Below are 25,161 nucleotides of genomic sequence, written 5' to 3' on the forward strand. Positions count from 1 at the left end.
CTGTCCTGAGTGTGCACATGGGTCTGGCACTGGGACGAATCACCCAATTTTGGTTGCAAGCAAGTTAACGGTAGGGGAATGTTCATGGAAATCTTGCCCAGAAAGTACCTGCCTGATGTTTAACTGGAAGTGCCTATAGGTGGGTCAAATTCTGGGCAAAGAGCATTGGCCCAGTGGCTGCTGGAGAGTAGAGGAGGGGGCACCTTTGCCCCTAGAAAGAGCTCAGATAGGATCTGAGGCTCTAGGAACTGTGCCCGGTTTCCTGACCTTTCTGAGGGAATCCATCGAACCTGGCATCTAAAGGCCATTCAGTGCTGACTGTCCTCTCGATGTCATAAGTCAGATTCCTGCTTCTAGGTCATCCAGGTCCCAAAAGAATTACTTTGCCTAATAAATGAGTACCCAAATGGGGAACCCTGGTTCTCCATCATCAGATGCCTCCACTCCATTTCCCAAAGCCCTTGACAAACAAGGTAACTGGATTCCTGTCCAAATGCAATGTTCAAGGTCTAGAAAATAATCAAATGAAATGAAATATCCTGTTCAACACTGAACAGCCTTTAGACCGTCAGTATTGCTAATAGCTCGTGGTGTCTTCCTGATAGAACTGTGGATTCAGCAGTGGGCACGCATGCCATTTGCATCGATTGTTTGTCATTAGAGGGTGGAGATAAGTGAGCTGTGGCAGCACTCATGCTTTCTGGGAATTCTCAGTTCCAGGGCACGTGGTCCAAACTCTTAGCTGGGTTTGGTTGGGAACCTCCACAGTTGAAGCATCTTATGGACCAGCTTAGCAGTTTAAAAACATTCTTCTATTTTATTTTATTTTATTATTTTTGTATTTTTTAGTAAGTAGGGATGGGCTTTACCATGTTGGCCAGGCTAGTCTCGAACTACTGACTTTAAGTGATCTGCCTGCCTTGGGCTCCCAAAGTGCTGGGATTATAGGCGTGAGCCACTGTACCCGGCCTAAAAGCATTCTATTTTTTTTCCTGTGGGAAATTTGGAAAGTATAGAAAAAAAACAGGTAGGAAAAATTAAATACCCAGGCTGCATCATCTGTCCATAATCTGTAGCTAGCCAGTGATAACATTTTTAAACTCCATCCAATCACTTCTCAGTGATACAGAGCAATATGCTTTACAAAAGTGAGATTCTATTGCATGTTTTTTACATTCTGATTTATGTACTTAGCATTGTATTAGGTGCATTTTTCTGCCTCCATAGATATTCTTAGAAAAATACCATTTAAAAATTAACTCCATAATCTTCCCTTGTATGGATTTTAAATATTCTATTTATGGACGTATTGTTGTTCTTATTTTTTGCTATTACAAAAAATGCCTTGATGGGCACCTTTACACATAAATACTTTTATGCTTCTGATTATTTCTTTAAAATGCACTCCTGGAGGCTCCTAAAAATGACTGCATCAAATAATGAACGTATTACAAGTTGTTCTGATACAAAGTAAGACACCAGCCCCACCACATACAGTATAAAATGCTTCTGCTTTCCTGAAGGCAGAGGGTTTCCAAAACAAAGCTGAAATTCTTGGATAGGTTACTATGGCCATGCCTCTTTTTGCTTTTTTTTTTTTTTTTTCTGTTGTGGAGGTAAAAATACCAAAATAATATTAGTCCACTTTTCTGTGTTGGTTGGTAATATTTCTTCATAATTCCTCCTTCCCTTCCTTTCCTAGTTTTGGTTCATTGAGAGCAGTTCGCAGTCCCACCCTCCTGCCTTTGACCATGACCATATGACTTCCTTGGCCAATGTGACATGAACAGACACGTGCCAGAAGCTTTAAACGTGTGTGTGGAGTTTCTGCCCATCCTCTTTCCCTCCTGCCCTCAGCCATGACGAGAGCATGCCCCGCGAGTCACTGGGCCCAGAATGAAGAGACATATGGGACACACTTAAGCCCTAGTGTCACTCTGGAGCCCAGCCGGCCGAGCAGCAGCTGATGAGCAGTAGCTTATCCATGAATGAAATCTAAATGAATGTGATTTCAGCCACAGAAATTTGGGAGAGGTTTGTTACACAGTATTATCACAACAAAACCTGATTTGAAGAGCTTTGTTTTTCAGAGGAGGAATATGAAGCTTAGAAAGATGAAGCAATTTGACCAAAGTTACCCAGAAATCAATCGAAGAGTCCTGTTGAAACTCAAGTCTGCCCTAGTTCTCCAGGCAGTGTTGCAGCGTGGTTGGTGCACACAAGCATGGTTTTATAATATCCTGTATGCTGGCTGGAGTTTTAGGGGTTTCCACTGATGCCTATGGCAGCTGTAGGCCTGATATCCTGCCCCACTCAGGAAGACAGCAGCTATCGTAGACGAGGTGACGGACAGGGCTAGAGCAGGGCCTGGGGAAGATGGCAGCAAAACAGCCGGTGTGAAATGACTGGCCCTTTAAGTTACTTATTACAACGAGTAATTCATTTAGAATTTGAGAAAACGAATGTCAGAATGTGGTGCTTCACACACATGTGGATTCATATGTGTGAACCTGAGCTAGGGAGTCACACTGCTCAGTGTTAAATTCTAGTTCCTTCGCTCCCCAGCTTTCTGACTTATAAGTTATTGGGACATCTGTGTGTTTCAGCTTCTTCTTCTATAACATGGGATGACAGGAGTGCTTTCCTCATACGAATGATGTGATGATTAAATAATACTTATAAATACATGGAAGAGTGCCTGGCATATAGTAGGCACTCAATAAATATTAACTAATTACTAGTTTTAATATCTGCCCTTCATAGCCCAGTGGACTTGATCTAAAGCACTGGCCACTTTAGCTTACTTTTTCTGCTAATTGAACCAATTAACCATCCCATGGTTAAGGTATGAGAGTTTCTGAACATAAAATCAGCCCTGATTATTTGGAGTTGTGTTCCTTTGATCATTAGTAAGTTTGGACGTGCAAATTGGCAAGTGGTGTGGCTGGGGACTTTGCCAGCAAGCAAGATGTTTAAAATCATATCTCAATCTCATCTCCAATTTTGCCTTTATCAAAATCCTCTGATTATAATCCAGTTGCACAGAGCACGAGACTGATGTGCATTAGGAATCCCATTGGCCCTGAAATCTCTAAAGCCTCTTTCTGTTTGGACTCCACACATGAACACATGCCATTTGCATGTTTCAAATATTGAGTGTCAGCTCCTTAAAAACCAGTCAGCAAATAAATGAACAGGAAAGAAAGATATGGATCTAGGCCTGGATATTATAGGTGATATGAATTTATGGCTGTGGCCAGATTGCCAGAGTCATCTAGGATTTAGCACAGTTGTCAGCAGCAGGTTAGCTCACAGGGAGTCTTCTGGAGTCTGGGATCCAGCCAAAGGCCAGCAAGACAACTAGGGAACAGAGGTGGAAAAATTGGCTAGCTCTGCTGATTGGTCAGATGCTTGGCCCCACCGCAAGTTAGTTTTGTTACTTTGAATGGATGATGCCGCTTCCTGCTGACTGAGCTCAGCCTGGTTCCTTTCTCCTGCTCCCTGCAAACTCCATTAACTGCTGGAGGCTGAGACTGAGGCCTGGGCCTCTCCTTGGACCAAACCTGCATGTGCTCCTGGTGATACATGAAACAGGAGAAGTGGGGTGGAGGTGCAGAAAGTGAAGAGTCCTAGACGTCAAGTGGAAACTTGGTGCCAATTACCTTCTTTTTTTTTTCCTGCCACATCCACCAAAGCCAGGAAATTCCTTTCTTTGTGGAATCTGCTTTTCCAATGGAGTTTCCCATATGATTAAACACTTTGATTATATATATATATATATATATATATATATATATATATATATATATATATATAGTTTGTTTGTTTTGTTTTGTTTTTGATGGAGTCTCACTCTGTTGCCCAGGCTGGAGTACAGTGGCACAATCTTGGCTCACTGAAACCTCCACCTCCTAGGTTCAAGTGATTCTCCTTCCTCAGCCTCCCGAGTAGCTGGGAGTACAGGCGCACGCCATCACACTTGGCTAATTTTTTGTATTTTTAGTAGAGATGGGGTTTTGCCATGCTGGCCAGGCTGGTCTCAAACTCCTGACCTCAGGTGATCCACCCACCTCGGCCTCCCAAAGTGTTGGGATTACAGGCGTGAGCCACTGCACCCGACCCAATTACCTTCTTATCCAGAGGAAAGGAAAATCTCCCAGTCAGTTGCCATCCTCTTGAAACCTGGAGGTGTCTGTTCTCTGTAACTGTTTCCCCTGCCTGTACCTATTATAGTGCTTACTGTATAACGAGTCCTCAATCATTGTTTACTTTTATCTTTTTCCAGGACTGATAAGTGTGTTGTGCTCAAAAATACTTAGAAAGAATTAAATAATCACATAATCTCTGAGTGAAGAGGGACTTTGTAGGCAGCTATTGCCTGTCTTCCGTGATGTATTTAACTGGCTTCTAATGCAATTAATTCCATTGATGGGCAGCCGTGATGCTCAGATGCTCTTTATTATTCTGAGTGGAAACGTCCCTATTTTTTAGCAGAGTGAGGGGAGAAGGTGGCCCAGGCCTTGTAGACATATCCTTTACCCCCTTCTCCATCCTCTCTCATTACAGATGAGTCTTTGGCTCAGCAGAATGGGCCTAGGTGGAGCTTGAAATTAATGAAGAGATGCTGCTTCCAGCTTTTTGAGCAAGAAGAAGTTTGGCCTCCAGTTATTACACCTTGAGGTCAGCGGGTATCTCAAGTCTGAGTAGTTATAAAAGTGAGCTGATGTAGAAACACCACCAAAGCAACGTTTTATCTAAATATTTCAGATCCCCCATTATAAATCATTTATTATGATTACCCTTTTGGTGTCATGGAATGAGATGATGAGCTTTTCTTAATGAAGTATTTCATAGACATATTTTTTCCATTTATCTTGGTGTTGGATGCTATGTGACCTGAATGGCAAATGAGGAAATATTTGTGCAACTCCTGAAATGCACACATCTCCCCATGCCAGAGTGCAGGAGCGGACAGGGCTTTCCCTGGCAGCAATAGGAGCCCGGTCCTGAGTAGGGCCTCTCCAGCCTGACTGCACCATAGCAGGTGACATCTGACTTGGGGTGTGCCATGTTCCCAGAGCTGCTTTTTTAAGGAGTTTGGTGGGAGCTGGAGGAAGCATCCACATCTTTAAAAACAAACCTTAACTCGTGAGAAGAAAAGTGGTAAACATTCAAACACAATTTGAACTTTTAATTTAGCCTTGTGAGTTCATCTATATCCATTTCCAGGAAAGGTCATGGGCTGAGGTGTGGTGCTTCACTGAAATAAATGCACTTTGGAGTTGACAGTAACCAAGCAAGGCCAGGGACCCTGAGGAGACCCCTCCCCACACTTGCAATGATCAAACATGCTACATCTTAGAAATTGGATCTGCCGGTTTATGGCAACTTGACGTAAAATGTGTATCTCAGGTCAGGCTGATCTGATTTAAATATCTTAGTGTTAGGCATTCTCTATCTGACATTGTGAAAACGCATATAATGGAACCAAGATTAGAATATCAAGATGACAAGAAGGATTGTACCTTGAAGACAGTAAAAGTCACTTGCATTCTGGGGTTACACATTTAATTTAAAATAGTTTTATTCCCTGTTCCTAGGGTCCTTGTAACTCTCTCCTCTGCTATATTTATATTAAATAAATAATTTTAAATGAGTCAAAGTGTCTTGCTCCTTGGCCCACTATAGAATGTCAGTGTTCCTTTTCAATATTTCTACTTCTTAGATCCTGCCTTCACCACAATGGGGGTTCATACAGGGTTGGAGTAGGTTGTTCTTCTCACCAAGTTCCCAAGCCCACATAAAATGGCAGCATCATATTTCACCGGACCCAGCTCTGCAGAAAGTAGTGGAAAAAAAAGTCTGTGATGGACTTAGGACCCAAGGAGGCAAAACAGAGTTTGGCTTTTCCCTTAGGGCTCTGTATATGTCAAAGAGGACCACACATGGGCCAAGTGACGTGCATATTGTGCCTGGGTGATGCTGCCCCAGCTTCTACCCACCATGGATGGGACCAACAAATGCTTCCCAGCTGAGAGGCAGTCACAGTGCCAGGGTGATCACAAAATTGCCCAGTTGGATGAAGACTACCCAGAAACTGGAGGATAACCTCACCCACTCTCAGCTACCAGTAGGGTCAATAGTAAGCCAGAAGTGAAAGCTTTCTTTCCATTGCCTCTTACTTTGTTTCCCCATGTCACAGTCAGCTATACCTTCCTAAGCCATAACTCTGATCATGCCCCCTGCCCCCGTTTCAGACCCTTCAGAAGCTTCACTTTGTCTCTGGAATGAACTGGAGCATCCGCTTCTCAGCCTCTGAGGCCCCACGTGCACTGCACCCGCCCTTCCTCAGCCTCCCCATCACATGGCTCTTTCCAAACCCATGGGCTGAGCCTGCTCTCAGGGCCTCCATGTGCCACCCTCTGCTCAGCCTCAGAGTTTCCACGTGTGTCTTAGCCTCCTGTTCTGTGCTGCAATAACAGAATACCTGAGACCAGGTGGTTTATAAATAATGGAAATATATTTCTTACAGTTCTGGAGGCTGGAAAATCTAAGATCAAAATGCCAACAGGTTTGGTGTCTGGTGAGGGCCCACTCTCCACTTCCAAGACGATGCCTTGAACACTGCATCCTCCAGCGTGGAGGAAACACAGTTCCTCACATGTCAGAAGAACAAAAGAGGAAAGAGAGAGCCCACTCTCAAAAGCCCTTTTGTTTAAGGTATTAAACCCACCATGAGGGAAGAGCCTACATGGCCTTACCACCTGTTAAAGGCTTCACCTCCCAAGACCATTACATTGGCAATTACATTTCAACGTAAGTTTTGGAGGAAAGAAACATTTAAAACATAGAAACATGTGTTGTCCTCTCAGCCTGGAACCAGGTCCTCATTCTTGTCTTTGTCGTTCTAGATCAACCTTCAGGCCTCCACTTAAGCGAGTTCTGACGTCAGTGAATACTTCTGCAGCATGGAAGTGCCAGGACCCTCGTTGGCCCCTGATGGCCAAATAGCCTCACTCTCCATTAGAAGAGAAAGCCTCACTCTCCATTAGAAGGCCAGGAGAGCGAAATCAGGGATTGCTTTCAAAACAAACAGTGTGGCAATAAAGAATTTCAGAAGAAAATAAAGAATTTACCACTGTTCAGTCATGAACGCTCATAACAGGCTGGGGTGTAGGAACTGTAGTTGTCACAACCCCTTTTTTGATAGAGAAGGGAAATTGTCCAGAATTATGCAAAGCGTAAGTGGCCAAGCCAGCATTTGAACTGGGGCCCCCACTTTGCTGTGCTGTCTCTCACGCCTTCTGCAGGGAAGTGTCCTTGGATAACCTTCACCCATCTTCATACCTCTCCCCTCCACCTAGGCCAGGACTACACGCTCTAATAGGCCCAGCTCCTTTTGCTTCATAATGCACAGTTTGCAATGTCCTAATCATCATGACAATGACCGTTTCCAGTGCTTCTTGCCTGCTGAATGGTTAAGTTCTTGTGGGCAGAGGCTTGTCTGTTCTCCCCGCTATGCGTGTCCCATTGCTTGGCAGAGTCTCTGCCCTGCGGTCACTGACTAGGCTGAGCATTTTTTTCTTCCACTGGGTGAGCATCTCAGCTGTCCTGCTAGCTGGGGATAGGCTGAGGGAGTGCTACTTCCAGATGTCTTGTCTGAACTTCTTTTTTTTTTCTTTTTCTTGAGACAGGGTCTCATTCTGTTACCCAGGCTGGAATGCAGTGGTGCAATTATGGCTCACTGCAGCCTAGATCTCCCAGGCTCAAGTGATTCTCCCACCTCAGCCTCCCAAGTACCTGAGACCCAGGGTCTGCTCCAAGGGCCTCAACCATGTCAGCTAGTTTTTGTATTTTTTTTGTAGAGACAGGGTTTTCCCATGTTGCCTAGGCTGGTCTCAAACTCCTGGCCTTAAGCAATCTGCCTTCCTCAGCCTCTCAAAGTGTTGGGAATACAGGCTGAGCCATGAGCTACCACCCCCAGCCTTGTCTGCACTTTTGAGTGGCTCCCTTGGCAGGGTTCTGTGCACGATGGCAGTGGGGAACAGAAGACAGGACTCCTGCCTCAGAGGGTGTCTGGGGGTATGGGAAGAGAGATGCTAACCCCACACAGTGGGCATGAGAGGCATCAGCTCTGCTCAGAGGGCCTCCCTGTGCACACCGAACTGCTGAGTCTTCTCTCTGAGGATCACACAGATGTGAGCAGAGCAGTGAGGAGGCACAGAAAAAAAGGGAAAACTGGGTTCCTTCTGAGATTCTTTCTTGCTACACTGTTTGTTTTTAAAGCAATCCGTGATTTGGCTCTCCTGGCCTTCTAATAGAGAGTGAGGCTGTTTTGCTACAGTATGGGCTGTTGGGGGACAAATAAGCCATTTCTGTTTGCTAACATTAAAAGAAGCTTCCCTGCTGAGGAGGTGCTAATGCAGCTGGCAGAAGCTCTGTGATGGGCATGGTAGGTTAGCTATTAGGCTGCCAGGAGCAGGCAGCAATCTCCCTATTTAGACATTTCAGAGGAGGCCTTCCAGAGGCCCTGGGTTCAAATCCCAGTTCCACCTCTTCCTAGCTCTGTGAGCTTAGGGCGAATCTCTGTGTCCTCACAAACAAATAGTGGGAAATAACACTTTTCCCCATTGCATTTACAGGTAAGTGTGGTGGTTTGAATGTTTGTGTTCCTTTCAAAATTCATGCTGAAATTTAATAACCAGTCTAACAGGATTAAAAGTTGGGGTGCCCAGAAGAAGATGATTAAATTATGAGAGTGGAGCCCTCATGGATGGGATTAGGTGCCCTTATAAAAGGGACTGATAGAGGGAGTCTGTCCGCTTTGCACTTCTGCCCTCTGCCATATGAGGACAAAGCATTCCTCCCTTCAGAATGATGCAGCAGTCAGGAGGTCCCCTTTGAGGCAGACACTAGGCAGCCAACCTGCCAGGCTGTGGTCTTGGACTTCCTAGCCTCTAGAACCATGAGAAGTAAATGTGTATTTGTTAAATAAATAACCCAGTCTGTGGTATTTTGTTACAGCAGTTTATGAACTAGACAGCAAGTTAACTGAGCCTGAACTTGGGAAACAGTTTAACACACGGTTCACTCATTCTCTTACTTTCACCCACTGGGCTGAGCATTGAAGATACGCTTGGTAGACACGAGGCAAATCTTACTTTAAGACAGTCTTCTTCTAGGACAGTTCAGATACCTATGAGGCCAGATTCTTCTTTTCACCCTTGCATAAGCCCTTTTGAGCAACTTGCTGGATCCCAACTCCAATTCCTTTCTCTTGTGGAAGACACCTGGCATTTTCACTGGCGAGCATCCATCCTCCCTCTGCAATACTTTCTTTTTTTAACTAGTGGAACTAAGGAAACATTACATTTTTTACGTCTCCAATTCATGTGCACAAACACGGCATCCATGGTGAAGGACACATTGTGGATGCTTTTCTAAGTTCTTTCATATGACTGGTAATACATGGGGAAGACTGCTGGGCCCACGGTGGGCCTCCCTGCTCCCCTAGACTGAGCCACTCAAAGCAGATCTCCACTTCTCTGCATCATTATAACAGCCTTTTAACTGATCTTTGGGCAAGTGACAGAGTCATGTCCTTCAAATTGGCAGAAATAACCGGAAAGTATTCTGTCTCTTCTACTGGAGGCTTCTTAGCTGGTGAATTGGAAACCTGGCACTCCTGGATGCCACCGTGTGACCAGAGCCAGCCTGAGAAAGAAGCCACAGAAGGAAGCAGAGGGAGAGATGGAGAGACGGCATTTGGGGTCCTGGCGTTAGACCCACCTCTCAATTTCACAGCTACATGAGCACCTAGATTGCCTTGTTTGATTAGCTAGTTTCAGGCTGACATTTAACTTTTAACCCAAAGTGTCCTAATACATCTTTTTCACTCATTCCTTTGTTGCTTAATTAGTAAGTTTTACCCTCTCTAAGAGTCTATCCTGGATGTATGTCAAAGTCGGGGGGATGAAGACACTGCCCTGCCTTTGGGGAACTTGTCTTCTTGTGGATAAGGCATGGTCAGGCCCCAATCAGCATAGCAGAAAGCACCATGAGTAAGTGTCCCGGGGCTAATGTAGAAAATAATGAATCTGGGAGGCCAAACAGGTGAATGGGTGAGAGTCTTTCAGACTGCGGAGTGAATGAGGGCCTGTGCAGGAGGTCACAGTGGAGCAGAGGCTCCTTCCAGAGCCCCCAGCTGGGCCAATTCAGTGCCTGTGCACTGCTCAACTGAGATGTTACCACATCCTCCTTCTCCCAGCCCTGGGATCCAGAAACCCAACACCCAGTAATTTCCAGGAATCTGATGGCAATCAGCTGGGCAAGGAATCACTCAGTTCCAGAAACAGGCAGTGTCAAAAAGGAGATTCAGGCTGGGCACGGTGGCTCATGCCTATAATCCCAGCACTTTGGAGTGGGCAAGACCGGCAGATTACTTGAGCTCAGGAGTTTGAGACCAGCCTGGGCAACTCGGCAAGACTCCATCTCTACAAAAATTAGCCGGGCATGGTGGCTCATGTGTGAAGATTCAGTGTTAGAATAGCAAGTTAAACTTTGATGGTAGTTCTGGATGTTTGCCTCCCACTTCTGCTCCAACAGGAAGGTAGTCAAGATTGCATGGGGCAGACTTTGAATTAGACAGTAAGCTTTCTGAGGACAGGGCCAATTCCTTCTCCTTTCTCTCCTGTGTACCTAACATTAGGACATACACATGTGCATGCACTAAAAATATTTAATAAAGATTTGCTGACTCATTTTCTAAAAACCTCTTTGTGATATTTCTCAAAATATTATAAACCAGAGAAATATAGTAAACCAGAGATACGAAATGAAAAAGAAAATATACTTTCAGTGTATTTCCAGATGTGGATTGTTAGAAGAGAGATCGTATAGCATATTGGTTCAGCCTGGTGCCAGATGTTCTGGGTTTAAATTCTCACTTCTTCATTTACTTGATATGTGACCTTAGGCAAGTTACTACATCTCTCTCAGCCTACATTTCCCCCTTGCTAAGATGGGGACAGTCAATAGGCCCTGTCCGGTGAAATTGCAGTGTGGATCATGAGGCAATGCGCAAAGTGCTGAGAGCAGCACCTGGCCCATGATAACCATCACGCATGTGTCAGTTGTTGCTGTCATTATTGCTATTGAAAGGGAGAGAGAGAGTGTGTTATTAAAGATGGAACCCAGGAGCACCAAGATTCCATGTTCTAAATAACAGCTCTCATAGACCTAGGGAAGCATTAATTCATAGAATGAAACTAGGAAGTCTCTCTGATCAACCTTTCACAGTGAGAAAACTGAGGCACAGAGAGGGAAAGTGTCTTACCCAAAGTCACATAGCAAAATAGCAGCTGACCCTAAGAAAATGCCAGAGCTCCTTATATCCAGTCTAGAATTCTTTCTGCTTCTGTTCTTCTTCTTCTTTTTTTTTCTTTTCTTTTTTTGAGACTGAGTCTCAATCTGTCACCCAGGCTGGAGTGCAGTGGCATGATCTCGGCTCATTGCAACCTCTGCCTCCCAGGTTCAGGTGATTCTCCTGCCTCAGCCTCCCTAGTAGTTGGGACTATAGGTGCGTGCCATCACACCAAACTAAGTTTTTTGTATTTTTAGTAGAGACAAGGTTTCACCATGTTGGCCAGGCTGGTCTCGAATGCCTGACCTCAGGTGATCTGCCTCCCAAAGTGCTGGGATTAAAGGCCTGAGCCACCGCGCCCATCCCCTGCTTCTATTCTTAACTCTTGGGTCTGACTATTGACCAAACATGTATAGATGCAAAAGCCACACCTCCCAATGGAAATCTGGACCTAAATCCCATAGTGGGCTCTTCCCTAGGAGGGTGACATGCACAAGAGACAGACCAAGAAAAGCACCAGGGCTGCAGCAGGCGAGGGAGTAATTTCCAGCAGCAAATAAATCTGCCCATTGCCGAAGGTCATTCCCGCGTTCCCTTGGAAAATGTGCACTTTGTGTTTATGCAGCTTTGAGGCAATTATTTCACAAGAAAGAAAATCTCTTGATCACATTACTTAATGTTTTCTAAGTGAACATTTGGTATTTAGCGGCTAAGCAAATTTACTTTTCTATAATGAACAGAGAGTGGATGATTGAAAAACATTTAATATACTGAGGTGTGGGTACTGCTGTCTAAAGGATTACTTAACTCACAGTTTAAACTCTCATTTTTTTTTTGAAAAGCAAACAGATTTCCTTTATACTGGAGAGTTGGGGATTAACTGTTTTGTTCCCATTAAAATCTGACTAAATACATGAATTGTGTGTTTTTGCTTATGAGCTCTTGGGGGATATACGGATATACTTTTGTCAATATTGAATAGCCTTACCATTTTGTCAGGATTTCCCATTGGTACATGCCTGCTGGATGGAGAGTCAGTTGGTAAGTGCTACTGATTTAGACAAAATCCTAGACTGCTAGAATTGCATTCAGGTTATAAGAGTTTTTAACATTGAGACTACATAAATGCATATTAACATTGTATTCATGGAAAGCAACAGGAACAAACCGTGGTTCTCTTCACAACTAGCAAACAAAGAATTTATTCAAAGAGAATGGAGTGGGAAGAAGAGCTTGAACAACCAGGAAGGTGAAGGAACAGGGACAGGACAGCAGCGAGACTCTCAGCCGTCAAAAGTTTACGGACTTTCTGCGAGATTCACGTACAGTGACTTTAAGTCCTTGTGTCTCCTTGTTTTAAATTTCAAATTCATAAGAGAGAAAGTTGGAGTGGCCCAGCTGGAGGCAGGTACTTGCCAATGAATTGATGAGCTAAGACCAGAGAGGCAGGGCCATGCAACTGTGTAATTGCTGGGGCCATTCCAAGGAGAGGAGTTGATTGTGAGTTAGGCAGCAATCCCCAACATGCATTCATTGAGCCAGGATGGAAATGTCAGCAAAAACCAAGTTGTTTTCCTTCTTTGACAGACACTGTCAGTGTCTCATCAACCCCTCCCGCCCATCACCCTTCTGCACTCCCTATTCCAGGCACGCCCATGAGTCCCTGCTTGCTTCTTTCCTTGGAGATCAACATTTAGATTTCTCATCCCTCAGATGCAAAGACCCCAAGTGGCTTCTACATCAAGTCCCATAATTCCCCAGGGCAGTGAAGCCCCCAGTTCCCTAGTGGTCCCCAGCAGTAACCTGCTCCTTAGTGTCCTTCCTTTCTTCTTCCACTTCCCCATCCCCTACCTGTGCCATCTGGGATCACGTCCCAAGAAAACCACCTGCCCCCTAATCCTTGTTTCAGCATCTGCTCCTGAGAGAGTCCAGCCTAAGACACATTCTCTCTAGAGGCAAACACCAATGTGCTTATAACTGATGGCTGCTCTCTTTTAATGGACTTAACAGCAGCCTCACTGCAGAGGGAGTCTGGCCGTCCCCTGGTTTTCCAGCTTCAGCATGACTAGGGAAGGGTCTGGTGGTGAAGAAATGCCCGTGCGCCATGCCTGGCCAGGGAGAGGGTCACAATTTTTCTCGTTTGGAAAAAGGCTGACTGCGCTGCTCACAGCCAGTTTTCAGCTTAGCGTCAGCTTCGTGGATTGTTTTGGGTCTGTGGATGTTGCCTTTCCAACTGCATAATGAGCTGCTTGAAGCCAGGGATCACATCTTCCCTTCTGTTTGTTTCTCCCACTGTACAAAACAGAGGGGCGGATACACTGAAGATGCTCGGAAGAGATGTGTTGCTTAATTAAAGAACCGAAAGAGGAACAGGCATAACCATTTCATTTTCTAGGCCGGGGGTGGGGGGCTCTGCTCGTGGAGTATGGTGATGGTCCGTGGAGTTTTGAGTGGGCTGTTGCAGGCACCCTCAGAGACGTTCCCTTTTCCCTTTAGCACTCACTGTGTGCAAACCAAAGGCTTCTTACAGCAAATACCAGTGGCTCCACACTCAATCTTGCACACAGGGCAGACAACAAGAGCCAGGGAGTAAATGTACCTTGGAACAGCTCTCCACCAGCCACCACTGGGATATGGCGGGTGAGCACTCCAGCTTCTTTGCCCCGCGGCTAGAACAATTCTGAAACGTGTTTCACAGCATGCACCAAATCCAACAGGATTAAACTCCATTTTCCCGCAAGGCAAGCTGCTCTAACACACCCTGCATTGGTTTTCTTTCCTCTCCATCTCCCAGCTCCCTGCTCCTCACTCAGTGCTCCCTGGAGTCGCTCCTGGCCCCCACATCTTCATCACGAGGTCTGCTTCTGGTTTAATCTGAGATAAAGGGAAACTGGTTTCTGCAGGTGCGGAAAGTTCCTTCAGAGCCCAGGAAATGATTAAGGGAGACTTAGTGTCAGTATCCATTTACTTTAGGTTAAATTCATTTCCTATGTGGACCAATTTCTGATAGAAGCCTCTCCTTTTTTGTTGTTGATTTTGTTTGTTTTTCATCCTCCAGTACGTGCATGCTTCCCTTCATGCAGAACATTCTTTTACAAGACAGACAGTATTTCCCCAGGCTGGTGTAAATTATTATCGAACAATGAAGCCCCTTCTCTAGTCATCATTCCGGTGCCACCTGGCCAGGCTCAGATAAATGGCCTATTCTGGAGGTGCAGGAAACCGGATGAATCATGACGTTATCCCAGGAACATGGCAGCCCGGCAGCCGGGGGATGGAGTATCTGTAAGTGTGGCCCCATGGAAGCTCCTGCAGGACAGAGCTTCACCATTATTAAAATCCATCCTATTGCCAAGTCCGGGAAACACTGTAGGCACAGGACCAGTGGCCCAGGTCTGGGTTTAGAAGATAACATTTTCCTCATGGCCTTTTTCCAAATACCTAAGTTTCATGATGAACAGGCCATCCAGAATCCAGTTAGTAGGGAAACAAGTGGCTTACGTTTCCTAATTTTACATTTAGTCTGTTGGTATTAAAACTCATGTGCTGAACTGGGCATTGCTGCTATTAACCTCTTTCTCAAGTTGATATTAGATCAGTTTTCAAATGGAGACTCTATTTGGAGATGGTCTTGTATATGTTTAGGTTATTTTACAGCCACAAAGCCTCAAATGGCTTCACTTAACAGGAGTTCTTAAACTTTGGAGATAACTTTGAGATTTGATAAAAGGCTGGTCCGCTTCCCCCAGACCAATATCATTAGGTCCACAGTCAACATTTTGCATACAGATATAGTGGGTAGACCCTCAGAGCCCATCCATTGAGTCACTAGGGACTTCTGGATCTCCAGCAAAGACAGCTGTTGGTTGTGACTGGTTAGTGACTGTGGTAATCTTGGGGGTGAAGCTCCAGCCTGAGTCATCCTTCTGATGACCGGGACGAATAGTATGTCTGATGATAAACATTGCATGTATGAGGACGCTGTGTGAAGAATGCCATACGCCGGTCTATAGGAAAATCCATCATGAAGTGTTTGGGGATAGATACTAGACTTGAACAGTGCGTCTAATGCATCTTCGTTCTGACCACATGGACTACTTAAAAACGTTAAATTCAAGAAGTGGAATTTTGAATTTAATAACTGTAGGTATTAATGTTTCGTAAGTTAGAAGGATGTTGGTACCACCAATTGCATTTAATTGTCTTCTGTGTTTGCTGTTATAATTTATGTTTATTTTTCTTCAAAACTGATAATGTAATACAATAGTAAGTTGTATATACCTTGAATATAGCATTGGACAGTATAGATTGTTATATAAAAATAACATTAAATTTATCTATAAATCTATAACCCCCTATTCAGAGGCTAACACTTCAAATAGTTTGATATTTTTCTTCTCATTTCCTCTGCATATATGTATACAGTTTTTATTACTTAGCTTAATATATTATTTGTTTTTACCTATCATCAGATGTTATTTTTAAAGTCATCTTTGAAGATTTAGTAAATTCTCTGACTGGAACCATTCTTCTATTGTTGGGGCTTTTGAAGTTCACAATTTCTCACTCTTTTTTTTTTTTTTTTGAGACCGAGTTTTGCTCTGTCACCTGGGCTCTCTGCAACCTCTGCCTCCCAGGTTCAAGCGATTCCCCCACCTCAGCCTCCTGAGTAGCTGAGATTACAGGCACTGGCCACGATGCCCGGCTAATGTTTGTATTTTTATTTGTAGAGACAGGGTTTCACCATGTTGGCCAGGCTGGTCTCAAACTCCTGACCTCAGACGATCCACCCCCCCTTGGCCTCCCAAAGTGCTGGGATTACAGGCTTGAGCCACCGCACCTGGCCACAATTTCTCACTTTTTCTATTACGCTTGATACCCAAACTCTTTTCTGTTCCTCCACGATGCTCTGACATGATCCTAAGCTTCCTGAGGTCACCTCCCAAGAAAATCACCTGCCCTCAAATCCTGGGCAATCCAGTGGCTTATCAGAGAATGTATTTTTTTTCCCCAAACAAGCATGGTCTTTCCTTGGAAAGACTGATGGTGAGTAATTTTCTCTTGCTCTTTACAAATGCTCTGTCTCATTTAACCTTCACAACAACCCAGGGAGGCAGGTACCACTTTCCCCATGTGGCAGGTGAGGAAGCTGAGCTCAGAGGGGTCACTGCCTTTCCCACAGCCACGTGTGGAGTGAGCGGGATTTGCTCTCAGCTCTGCCTTGGCTGAGTCCTGTCTTCTCGCCAGCGCTTCTCGACTGCCCTGGTCTGGGTGCCCCACCACTACCCTCTGTGAGTCCGTGGGTAGTTGATTCCTTTCCTCAAGGATCTACTTTCTCACCGCCCCTTCCATGTGGAAGTTTTAGAAACCTTGGGCTACTTTAAACAAAGAGCCGCTGGCTGACTGCTCCCTGCCCAGAGGGCAAATCCCGGTTTCGGAGTTGAGATAGACAATTATGTAAAATGAATTCTGGGTGCACCCAGTTGTCTAATTAATGACACATTATCTATGTAGGAGAAAATGTATCTTTTGGGGCTCAGCTCAGACTCTACATCTCTCCTCCTGGGCCTCCTTGATGAAATTAATTGGGGCAGGCAGGGGGAAATTGACATTTTAGAAGCCAGTTTTCATTCTTGGACTGAAAGAAACTGTTCCAGTGCCTGTTTACCTGGGCTGCAACACACACACACATGCACACACACATACACACACATGCACACACAGATGACATGAGCCCCTGAAGTTGCTGTAATCTAGGAGGCCACAGTCCAGAGCAATTGCATTGAAAGCAGCCACCCATCTCAACATTGCAGCCGACGAGAGTGAAATCAGGGAACACATTCCAGGTCCAGGCAATGAAGGAGAAAATGTGCCAGCTCTTGCCACAGCCGTTACTTACAAAGGTTTTCCACCTGTAATGTATTTCCCAATGCTGTGTTTCTCTGATGCTGGCTCTGCCTACACCCACAAAGCAAGATAAGAGGGAAAGTGGTGGCTGGACACAGTGGCTCACATCTGTAATCTCGACACTTTGAGAGGCTGAGGAAGGAGGATGCCTTGAGGCCCGGAGTTCGACAATATAGCAAGACCCCATCTCTACAAGATATTTAAAAATTATCTGGACATAGTGGTGTGCATCTGTAGTCTCAGTTACTTGAGAGGCTGAGGTGGGAAGATCCCTTGAGCTGGGGAGGTTGAGGCTGCAGTGAGCCAAGATTACACCATTGCACTGCAGCCTGACTGACAGAGTGAGACCTTGTCTATATTTAATAAAGAAAAAAGGAAAGCAGAGCCTTGGACATGGCTTGGCCTAGTACACACCTGTCTCCTTGGTGCATTCATCCTATGGAGCCCAGGGGGTCTTGAGCTGTGAACTTGTGAGGGTTGGACAGAGACCCCAAGCCTCTGCTGCTTTATTGTGAATACAATTTGCATTACTAGATTATGCTCCAGGCATCGTTACAACTACTTGCAGATATTAACTCATTTAATCCTCACTGATGTCCACATCCTGGTTTATCAATGAGGAGACAGCCATGGGGAGGTTAAGTATAGTGTGCTCAGGTCACATTGTCTGGGCATGGTGGGGTCGTCAGTGAGTGTCTTGCTCTGACTTGGAAGGGAAGTAAGGAGTTTCCCGAGGTTCCTCTTGCTCAACTGCACCCTCCCTCACCGCTCACCTCTCCAGGGTTCCGATTTACCAACAGACACCCTCAGGGCACAGCTTGGGAGTCATTCGGACAAATGAATGCTCAACTGAGAAATGGGTAGAAACACCAAATACATGCTGAATACCAGCTCTATGCAGATATTGAGCTAGACGCTTCTCTCAACATGGCTCATGTAGCCCTGCTAAAAACACAGCGGGAAGGGGGAAGAACGAAAGTAATGCATATAGACCATGCTACGCATTCCATCCTATATAAGCGAACTAACTTCTTAGCCTATGCTAGGGTTGGTGAACCATGACCTACAGGCCAAGTCTGGCCTGTCACCTGTCATGTGAGTAAAGTTTCATTGGAATCCAGCCACAGCTGCTCAGTTATGGTTGTCTATGGCTGCTTTCACACTGCAGTGTGGGATAGAGACCTCATAGACAGCAAAACCTAAAACATTTACTGTTTGGTTCTTTACAATAAAATGACCCCTGATTTATGCAGTCCTTATAACAACTTTGCAAGGTGGGTATAATTTTGGAGATGGGAAAACTGAAGTTCAGGGAATTCGAAGGGTTAGTTTGAGACCACCCAGACCATGGCAAAACCGTGACTTACACCTGCAAGTGGTTGCTTCTCTTGCTGAATGATAGGGTGACACAGCAGCCCAGTGTCCCTCAGGGAGTCGGGGGGATGGCCCCGCTGTGTTCCAGGGAGAGGGAGGGACTCTGGAGCTGCTGCACTCTGATCTGCCTGTTCCCTCGGCTCGGCTGGCTCAGCCACTGTGTCTTGTCTTGCTCTCTCCAAGAGCACAGTTGACCTTCCCTACAGCTGGCTTGCTAAAACCGTCTGACATGGGAACAACAATACATTCTATCACATTCAGCACAAGAAATGAGAGGCCACACAATTACTTCAAGAATGACCAAGAAGAAAGAAGTGATTAAATTTTTGGCCCCCACTTTTTTTCCTCCCCGAGATGATGGCGTTGATTTTGAGTTATCTCCCTAAATGGCTCGTTTGTGGGAACTTCCCCAGGCTAATCTGAAGAAGGGCGATGATTGCAGGCAGAAGCGAGTCCTTGCCCTGCAGCAAGATCTCACACCTCACATCCTGATGTGGGCCGCAGGGAGTCCCAGCATCTCTGAGACCGTAGGCACGAAGCTCAACTCCTCCATCACCTGCTCCTCTTGCCGGACACAGGAAAATCCCCCAAATGGGCTTCTTTCTCCGTTATCTCTGGTTCAGCTTTAATCAGCTGAACACTCTAATCAGTTATGACATGATTTGTTACTAAAAAGAGCACCACAGTATAGAAGTGTAGACATTTACAAATTGTTTACTTTCCTTTCTTTTTTCTTTTGAACTTTTGCTGAAGTACAACATGGATACAGAAAAATCCACACATTGCAAGCCTATGGCTTGAGGGATTTTCACAGACTTTTGGCACACATAAGTACACATTTTTGGCACACATAAGTACACATTTCTGTCAGGCATATGTCTAAGAATATAATGGCTGGGTCATAGTATAGGCATAAGTTTGGCTTTAGGAGATATTGATGAATGGTGTTTTTTAAAGTGGTTGCACCAATATACACTCCCACCAGCAGAGCATGGGAGTGCAGTGTGTTCCACATTCTCACCAACACTTGGCAATTTCAGTCCTTTAAAATTATTATTTTAGAAAGATTCAAGGTCTTTCTCATAATAATACCTTTCATACTACTTTTATCTATCTAATTTTTCAAAGAAAAGAAAGTTGGATTTAGAGAAAGTTCTCCAGGGTATGCACTGTTTTGGGATGAGCTATCCCACACCCAGGTGTGGCCCCCAGTGCAGATGTATTTGCTCCTATTGACAAAGTAACAAGTCACAGCAGTATTCTCCCTCCAACCTTTGAATGTCAGCAAAACATACCTGCCTGCAAGTGTCCCCTGTTGTGAATGCCAGGCCCCCCAGTCCCCGGCCCCAAGCTCCTCATCAGCCTCCTGCCTTGCATCTTCCTTCCAGACACCCTGGCCTAGGACAGACACAAGCCAGCCAGCTCTCTCCCTGCCTCCCCTGCCCCAGCGCTTCACACTTGTGCCCCTTCACAACTGGTGTCATGATTACCTTCCAGCTGTGTGCTTATTTATCTACATTGTCTAAATAAAGTCTGCGTTATCATGGGTGTGATATGTTAGATTCCTATTTTTCTAAGATACAGGAAAATAAGCGCATAGCCTCTGACATGTGTCTGTGTCGTATCAGATGTCATCTCTGGGCTGCCCACTTTGGCTGACATGGCTCTGGCCCAGCTGGTGCTGCTCCTTGGCCACGGAGCTGTCTCCACTTCCTCCACAGGTCGGGGCCTTCTAAGACAGCCGTTCTGGGCCCTCAGTGGCTCACAAGCCCACCCTAAGAGCATCTCGCCCCCTCCTGCTGTGCATATCTCTGGTTCCTGCCCTGGAGTTTCCCCGTTGCTGTGGAAGTGTGAGATACTGAGAAGTCCACCCACAGTGCCCACACCAGCCCCCAGGGATGGAGTGTTGGGGCGTTACACCCCATAGAGTGAAATTTGGATGAGTGGGAAACAGGGGCCTATGGCTGAATCCTTCCCCTTCCTATCCCACTCCCCAGCCTCTATGCTGTGTTGGGACCCAGCAGTTCCCCTGGCCTCCCTAAAGACTTGCTAAGATACTGAGCAGTCCACTTGTGACAAAGCCTCACCCTACTCATGATATTCTCACCAAACACGAGCAAGGCAGACACAGCTCCCCTCTGCCTGCCTCACTTTGCTTTCCTGGGACTGCACTCGACAGCAAAGTGTCAGTAAAGTCAGCTTCTGCCTCAAGTTCTGCTTTCTAGGGAACCCAGACCGCAACAAATGCGCAGCCTAAAATCATCTCCCAGCCCACCAGGGTACACACCACCCTTCGCCAGGTACACCCATGGCCTTTCCCATTGCTTCATGGTATTATCCCATCAAGGCTGCTACCCTGGGGGCCACCGTTCCCGGACCTGCAGCTCCTCTCTTCCACCATTTCTGAGGTGGCTCCCAAGCCTCCTTCCCTCTAGCCTGGAAGGGACCCACCTCAGGGTCCCTGTGGTCCCAACTCTGCACTTCCCTAGGGGCCTCAACCCTTTCTTTCTTGTATGTAGATAGTCACAGTCCATGCCATCCTCCTCTGATAGATGTGGTCCTCTCTATGGCAGGGACTCTTTGAGCCTCATTGCTTTCTGCTCCACAGACATTGGTAGAGGAAGAAATGAGTTACCAAGAGGAGAAAAGTGTTCATGTGTGTATAACAAGGGGCCATGTGATTTAAAACTGCACCAACCTATCCAGGAAGATGGGTTCTCTCAACTGGATTAGAATGTGATGGATGTTGATCTGCCCAGGTGAGCCTAAGCCAATCTTGAGAGCAGCTGTCTCAGGCCAGGCTGCCCTGGGAGCAGACCACAAACAAGGGAGGAGTGTAGTTGGTTTACCTGGAAGGCGATTCCCGGAAGTACCATTAGGGTTCTGGGAAGCAGGAAAAGCGGGGATGAGGAGCTAATTGGAATTGAGTTGTCGGCATGTTTGGGTTAGGGCATGGGTCTCTGGCCTGAATCCCACTGGAGAATGTTGAGAGTCAGTGTGGAACACAGCACAAGGTGGTCACAGCCAAGGAGTGAGGATTCTCGGGGTATCCACCTGTCGGCTTTCCTCCAGCATTGGTGAGGGCTGCTTCTGACGTGTGCAAGAATGGCCAGAAACAAAAACCCCTGGGAGGTGGAGTTGCAGATGTTGACTGTCGGCGACTCTGACTTCATGGAGGTGCAGTGGGAAACCAACAATCTCCGCCTCATTAGGGCTCCACCTCCTTCATTGCCATCTCATGGTGCACACAGAGTTCGGCAAAGGAGAACCCCAGCTCTCAGAAGCCTTGCTGCATACCCAAGCGAACCACTGTAGGCATCCAGGATGCAAACACTTCTCTGCTTGATGCTGAACTAGCTTGCCTTAGGAGCAGCCCAGCGTGAAATCCCCTCCTTTGCTGAGACAGGCTCACACGTTCTTCCACTACACATGCCTGCTGCCTTTTCTTCAGCTCCATGGAGAACGCTCTGGGCACCAAGGCCTAACTTCTCAGCCTCAGCTTACCAAAGGCATATGTGGTTTTGCTAATTTCTAAAGAAGAAAAACCACCCTGCTTCCCTTGGAGCCCTAATAGCACCAAGACCCGGCAAGATGAAGGCCCCCTGTCTCTCTGCAGAGCTGCCATCCCCTGCTGGGCTGTGCAGTGACAGTGGCAGCTGGGCGAATTTCCTCCTTGCTGTTCTGAAACAGAAATTCATTCTGTCTCCAGGCCAAGCCCTCAGCTCACTCACTGAACACCCCGACCCCCTGCAAGAGCTCCAAAGTCAGAATTGCATTTAGCTTAGGGTGTCAAAGCCCTGCACTGAGCCTTGGAACACTTCAGTTTCCTCCTGTCAGGAAAGAGCACCAGGAAAAGAAGAAGGGCCCCCAGAGATCCGTAACTGGGGCTGATCTGAGCTCTCAGGGAAACGGGCTTGAGAGTCTGGGGTTTGTGTAGGATGTTTCAGGAAAGCAGTTCTTGTGTGCACAGCTTCAGGGTTGCCTGGCATTTCATGTGACAATCACCGTGTTGGGACTGAAATGATGTCCCTGCCCCTTCTTAACTATAGGCAGCCAGGAGGACAATGTTGACCAGGTTATGCCAGACATTACCTGTAGAATAGACTAATGTGTTTTTCTCAGAGTTGTACTGGGCCCTACCCTCAGGCTAAAGAGGTTTCAGAAATGATGATCAGATGGCTTAGGCCGAAGGTTGGAGACACATGACACAGGTGCAGTTACCACGCTGCTCTTCCCCGGGGCAGACATCACCAATCAATCCTGAGCCTGGAAACGGCCTTTCCAGCTCACCCTTCTGGGCAGCCATGACTGTAAGTCAGGTTACGCACACAAGCTCAGCTGGGTCCCTGGTGTGTTTCTCATTGAAACTGGCACCTGTAGTGAGTGCCACGGGACCTGGACAGCACCCCTGACCTGCACAGCCTCTTTCTCACATATGCCACACATGTGTATTCATGAGAATTCACTCACTGGTTCATTGGATAAATGCAGTTTATTAAACATTTACTGTGTGCCAGGGATTATGCTCAGATGATGAGGATTCAAAGGGAGTAAACACAAGACCAGAGCTGCTCCCTGGGAGAAGCCTGCATAGCCCAGCCTCATGACTGAAGGTAAAGTGCTCTGTCTACAGGCCCAGGGCACACCAGGCATGTCACAGCCACCCTCTGAGCAAGCAGAAGCCCAGAGAGAGAGGGCATGAGTGCAGGGAGGAGAAAGGAGAAAGCCAGCAGAGATGGATTGAGCCAAATCATATGTTCTTTATGACATCTTGTTTCCCAGACACTTCCCAGGCAAGCTCCAAGATCTTCAAGGAGGAAAGGGACAAACTGGCCCTTGTTGGGAGGAGTGAGCAGGCTGGCCACCCCTGTCTCCCCAGCCCACCCTCACTCTTGGGGGGAGCAGCACAGGTCTATTCATACATGGGGTGATGTGATCTCTGGATCAAGGGTCAACACCTGCACAAGGGCAGCCATCCAGAGGCCAGCAGCCTAGGAAGGGCCCCACCAGGGGCTCTGACCAACTTGGGGAGGAGTTGACCCATCCATAGCTCTGGAGCCTGCACCTGAGCTTACAAAAAGGACTGGCCAGCTGGAGTATGAGAGGCATATACCAGCCATGAGAGAGGGAGAGTGAGCAGCTGCACCCAAAACAAGTCCCCTCCAGAAGGTCTTCTGGCGTGCCTCCAGTGGGCCTGTGTCCTCCTAATTACCTTCTTGCTTTCTTCTTCTTTTTTCTTCTTCTTCTTCTTCTTCTTTTTTTTTTTTTTTTGACAGAGTCTTGCTCTGTCGCCAGGCTGGCATGCAGCGGTGTGATCATGGCTCACTGCAACCTCCGCCTCTGGGGTTCAAGTGATTCCCCTGCCTCAGCCTCCTGAGTAGCTGGGACTACAGGCATGCACCACCATGCCCAGCTAATTTTTTGTATTTTAGTAGAGATGGGGTTTCACCACATTGGCCAGGATGGTCTTGATCTCCTGACCTCGTCATCTGCCTGCCTTGGCCTCCCAAAGTGCTGGGATTACAGGTGTGAGCCACTGCACCCTGCCACTTTCTTCTTAAAGAGTCTCACTCACTGTTACCATAGGAATCTCCCAGTAACTGGGATGATGAGCCCAGGAACCAATTAATAGGGGTCATTGCTCAAGGATCCAGGACTTTTACTCAGGACAGGAGGGTGGCAACCTGGCACTTGGCAAAGGAAAGAAATGAGATGAATGGAGAGAAAAGGAGGGGCCAGTGCATAAACTGCACACTGGGCTGGGCTCTCTACACCCATCCCCTCACAGTATTCTGAAAATAGGCTTGCGAAGTGGGTGTATATAAGTGCTATTCCTTTACTTCAAGAAATGAGGCTTAGTGAGCCACATCATTTATTCATGCTCCGTGGCTGATCTGGGATGCAAATTCAGTGGATGGCTTCAGATCAGAAGGAATCCAGCTGCTGTGGTTCAATGCTCTCCCTGATCTGCACAGCTCATTCTGCCTTCTGTGGCTCCCACAGCCCCTGAAACCAAGCCTCGTGTCTAGAAGATGCCCCGTAAATGTCCAAGGAAAGGAAGAAGGAAGAAGAGGCAAGCACTTTGGGTAGGGAAAAGCCAGAGGGAAGGAAGAGCAGACAGCCCAGTACCTGGAGTCTCTTATCATGGCAAGAGTGGGTTCCCAGGGAGCTTTACCTTGCCCTGTGGAGAGGCCCGCCATCGGGGCTCCCCCCACATTCCCTGGCCCCTGTCACCCTCTGGAACACACCCACTCGGTGCATGCCCACTCCCCTCAGCCTCCTTGGGTCTCTGTGCCAGCTGCCCTGACTGACCTTGTTTGCCTGCACTGAGGGCTAAAAATGCCTCAGGAGTTACATCACCCCAGGATCAGCCACCACTAACAAAGGGGGGGGTAGGTGTAAATGTCCCCTTGCTTCTTTTTAATTGTTTTTTCTTTTTTCATTGTTGTTTGTTTTTGTTTGCTTGTTCTTGAGACAAGGTCTCACACTGTCACCCAGGCTGGAGTGCAGTGGCGTTA

At 46.6% G+C, this 25,161-nt stretch overlaps 2 annotated features.

Annotated features, from left to right (window-relative positions):
- Window positions 13,742-13,939: a silencer, noted in NCBI's record as "fragment chr19:29395574-29395771 (GRCh37/hg19 assembly coordinates)". NCBI's record gives its function as "represses an EF-1alpha promoter that drives an FKBP-Casp9 reporter gene in an ReSE screen in K562 erythroleukemia cells {active_cell/tissue: K562}" and the evidence as "EXISTENCE:reporter gene assay evidence [ECO:0000049][PMID:32094911]".
- Window positions 20,249-20,748: an enhancer, noted in NCBI's record as "H3K4me1 hESC enhancer chr19:29402081-29402580 (GRCh37/hg19 assembly coordinates)". NCBI's record gives its function as "activates a minimal SCP1, AML or CMV promoter by ChIP-STARR-seq in naive H9 embryonic stem cells {active_cell/tissue: H9 hESC(naive)}" and the evidence as "EXISTENCE:reporter gene assay evidence [ECO:0000049][PMID:30033119]".

Source organism: Homo sapiens, chromosome 19 (genome assembly GCF_000001405.40).
Source record: "Homo sapiens chromosome 19, GRCh38.p14 Primary Assembly".
NCBI classification, from domain to species: Eukaryota; Metazoa; Chordata; class Mammalia; order Primates; family Hominidae; genus Homo; species Homo sapiens.